The 3,797-nt window shown below is 36.0% G+C and overlaps 1 annotated feature.

The window, feature by feature from the left end:
• Positions 3,283–3,797: an enhancer, noted in NCBI's record as "OCT4-NANOG hESC enhancer chr1:61942976-61943490 (GRCh37/hg19 assembly coordinates)". NCBI's record gives its function as "activates a minimal SCP1, AML or CMV promoter by ChIP-STARR-seq in primed H9 embryonic stem cells {active_cell/tissue: H9 hESC(primed)}" and the evidence as "EXISTENCE:reporter gene assay evidence [ECO:0000049][PMID:30033119]".

Genomic DNA, 3,797 nt, shown 5'->3' with positions numbered 1-3,797 from the left:
TCTGTTACCTGACTAAATCCGTGCTTGGCTTCCTGCTGCTTGACAAAATCACCAGGAGTTCAATAATCATGTTGATGGAGTTGTTTTTTTTTTTATTTCATTTGTTTTTCTTGGCCTCCAAAACAAGGATCCAGAAACAGTCCCTGCTTTAAGTCTAGAAAGACAGTATACAAAAAGAAAATTCATAGGGAGAGTGCAACCATAGAGGAAAGCACAGAGTGCCACAGGAATTCAAGATCCCCTGAAGACAGTTTTTAAACCCAACCAGTGGGCCAGATTCCCAAGCTTACATATATATATATTTTTTTTCCTTGCACTTCAGATGTTTAACAACAAACTCACTGCTTGACTTCAATGTCTCACATGCATCTGTGGCTTAAAATGTCTAAAGTTCAGCTCTTAATCTCCCACACACACTATCCCACACACAGGCAGTAACACTCAAGCCCTTGTCACTTGTCCTGGCTCTGCAACTCCCAACCCCTGGGGTGGCTGCTCCAAAATCCGCATCGGGTGCTTCTACTATGTTCTCAGTTTCTACTCTTTCTAGAACCTCACGATTTCTCTTCCTTGCAAGCTCAGCCACACAATTAAGTTTTACAAATTGTATTAAAAGTAATGGCAAAAACCGCAATTACTTTTGCACCAACCTAATACATTGTTCAGAATGTCTAATTATAAAAAGCATGTGAATTTCAGGGTAGCCTAGTCTGCCTTAAATGCCTTTATTATATTAATATTTTAAAAGTGTGAAATATAACACATATATAGATAGGTGCACACAATAAAATTCTAAAGCCAATGATTTATCACATGCAAACATTCTCCTTTATCCTGTCAATATGGTGAATTACTTTGATTTTTGAGTGCTAAATTACATTTGTATTATGGGAATAAAACCATCCTAGTTGTGTTGTATGCCCATTTACTATAAAGCTGGATATCTTTCTTTTCCTTTTTTTTTTTTTGAGAAGAGTCTTGCTCTGTTGCCCAGGCTGGAGTGCAATGGCACGCACTGCAACCTCTGCCTCCCAGACTCAAGCAATTCTCTTGCCTCAGCCTCCCAAGGAGCTAGAACTACAGGTGCCCACTACCACACCCAGGTAATTTTTTTGTATTTTAGTAGAAATGAGGTTTCACTATCTTGCCCAGGGTGTTCACAAACTCCTGAGCTCAGGCAATCCACCAGCCTCAGCCTCCCAAAGTGCTAGGATTACAGGTGTGAGCCACAGCACCTGACCAAGCTGGATTTCGTGTTAACATTTTGCTTAGGAGTTTTGCATCTATGTTCGTGCATGAGATTAGCCTATAATTTTTCTTTCCTGTAATGTCCTTTTCAGGTTTTGGTATCCAGGTAAAATAGAGAGGTTTTTCTTTCTTATTCTCTATAGAGTTATGAACTATTAGCATTGTTTCTTTCTTTAGTGTTTGGTCATTGTCACTGTTGAAGATATTAGGACCTAGAGTTTTCTAGGTGGAAAAGTTTTTGATTTTTTTTTTCATGGTAATAGGATGGTTCAGACTTTTAATTTAATCTAGTGTCAGGCTTCTAAAAAAATTGTCCATTTGATCAATATTTTTTAGTTTATTGCGGTAAGACTAGTTCATAAGCTTTTTTTAACTGTTATTTGTAATGCTACCACATCTATAGCACATCCCTCTATTTCATTTCTGGCATTGCTTATTTGTGCATTTAAGTTGCTCTTTGACCAGTCATTCTCCTCAGGGAATATTCCATTTTATTGTTTGTTTTAAAGTACCAACTTATGGCTGGGCATGGTGGCTCAGTCTAGAATCCCAGCACTTTGGGAGGCTGAAGGGGTGTGAATCGCTTGAGCCCAAGAGTTTGAAACCAGCTTGGGCAACATGGTGAAACCCCATCTCTACAAATAATACCAAAAAAAAAAAATTAGCTGGGAGTGGTGGTGTGCACCTGGAGTCCTGGGCAACATGGTGAAACCCCATCTCTACAAATAATACAAAAAGAAAAAAAATTAGCTGGGTGTGGTGGTGTGCACCTAGAGTCCCAGCCACTCGGGAGGCTGAGGCCAGAGGATTACCTGAGTCTGGAAGGTCAAGTTGCAGTAAGCTGAGATTGCACCACTGCACTCCAGCCTGGGTGACAGAAGAGACTCTGTCTCAAAAAAAAAAAAAAAAAAAAAAAAAAAAAGGAACAATTCATGGCTTTCTTAATCTATATTGTGTATTTATGTTTTCTTTCATTATTTTTTTCTCTTTCTCTTTTCTCTCTACTTTTCTTGGGCATAATTTAGTGGTTTAAAAATTTTTTTTGAGTTGGATTCTTAATGCAATGATTTCATCCTTTCTTATTTGGTAGTACATTCATTCTTAACTATAACATGTTATTCAAGTTATGGTTTAACTATATCTCTTAAATTTTTAAACTAAAAAATTTACAAACAGTAAAAATTACTCTACTTCTTTGATAAAGTGTCTATTCAAATCTTTTGTTTATTTTTAATTGGGTTGTTTGTTTTTATTATTGTTCAGATTTGAGGGTTCTTTAGGTATCCTAGATACAAGTTCCTTGTTGTATACATGTTTTGAAAATTTTTTTTTCAGCCTGTGACTTGTCTTTTCCATCTCTTAACAGTGTCTTTTGACAAGAAAAATACTTTAGTTTTAATAAAGCCAATGTATCATCCTTGATGCTTTTGCTCTTATATCTCAGAAGCACAACCCAGGGTCACAAAGACTTTTTAGGATATTTGATTCTAGAAGTTTTATAATTTTAGGTTTTCTATTTAGTTCTATGGTCCATTTTGAATTAAATTTTGTACAAAGTATAAAGTAGAATAGAGGCTGTTCTCCTCTTTCTTCTTTTTGCATGTGATGTCCAATTTTCCAGCACCATTTGTTGAAAAGACAATTCTCCATTGAATTGCCTTTGCACCCCTTTCACAAATCAGTTGACTACACTTGTGTGGATCTATTTCTAGACTCTGCTCTATTCCATTGATCTATATATGTATTCTTTTGCCAATACTGCACCTTCTTGATTATTGTAGTTTTATAGTAAGACTTGAAATCAGATAGTGTGAGTGCTCCAACTTTGTTCCTTTCTTTCAAAAATCTTTTGGTTTTTCTAGTGCATTTTTAAAAATATTAATCTTGAAATCAGATTGTTGATATCTACAAAAAAATGCCCTGAGATATCTATTATGAACAACTTGACTCTACAGATCAATTTGTAGAGAATTGACATCTTAACAATATTGTCTTCCAATCCAAGAATATGGTGTATTTATCCACATTTTTAGGTCTTAGTTAATTTCTTTCATCATTGTTTTGGGTTTTCAGAATATACATACTAACCATATTTTATTAGATTTATACCTAAGCGTTTTTGTACTTGTAAATGGTACTTTAAAAATTAGATTCGAATTGTTCATTACCATTACATAGAAATATAATTGATTTTTGTATGTAAACCATGTTACTGTTATCGGTGGAGTGTTCGGGCCTTCCCCAATTCATATGCTGATGTCCTAACCCCCAGGGCAACGGTATTTGGCGATGGGGCCTTTTAGAGGTAATTAGGGTTAGAGGGAGTCTTGAGGATAAGGCCCTCATGATGGGATTAGTGACCTTACTAGAAGAGACGCCTGAAGGCTGCTGAACCAGTTAGCAATGTCCTCCCTTGTCTACGGGTTTCACTTTTCCCAGTTTTAGTTACTCATGGTCAACCACAGAATGAAAATATCAAATGAAAAAATCCAGAAATAAACAATTCATAAGTTTAACATTGTGTCTTGTTCTGAGTGGCATGATAGAAT

Source organism: Homo sapiens, chromosome 1 (assembly GCF_000001405.40).
Source record: "Homo sapiens chromosome 1, GRCh38.p14 Primary Assembly".
Classification (NCBI taxonomy): Eukaryota; Metazoa; Chordata; class Mammalia; order Primates; family Hominidae; genus Homo; species Homo sapiens.
Note: the sequence above shows the minus strand (reverse complement) of the source record. Positions and strands in the feature narration are given on the sequence as shown.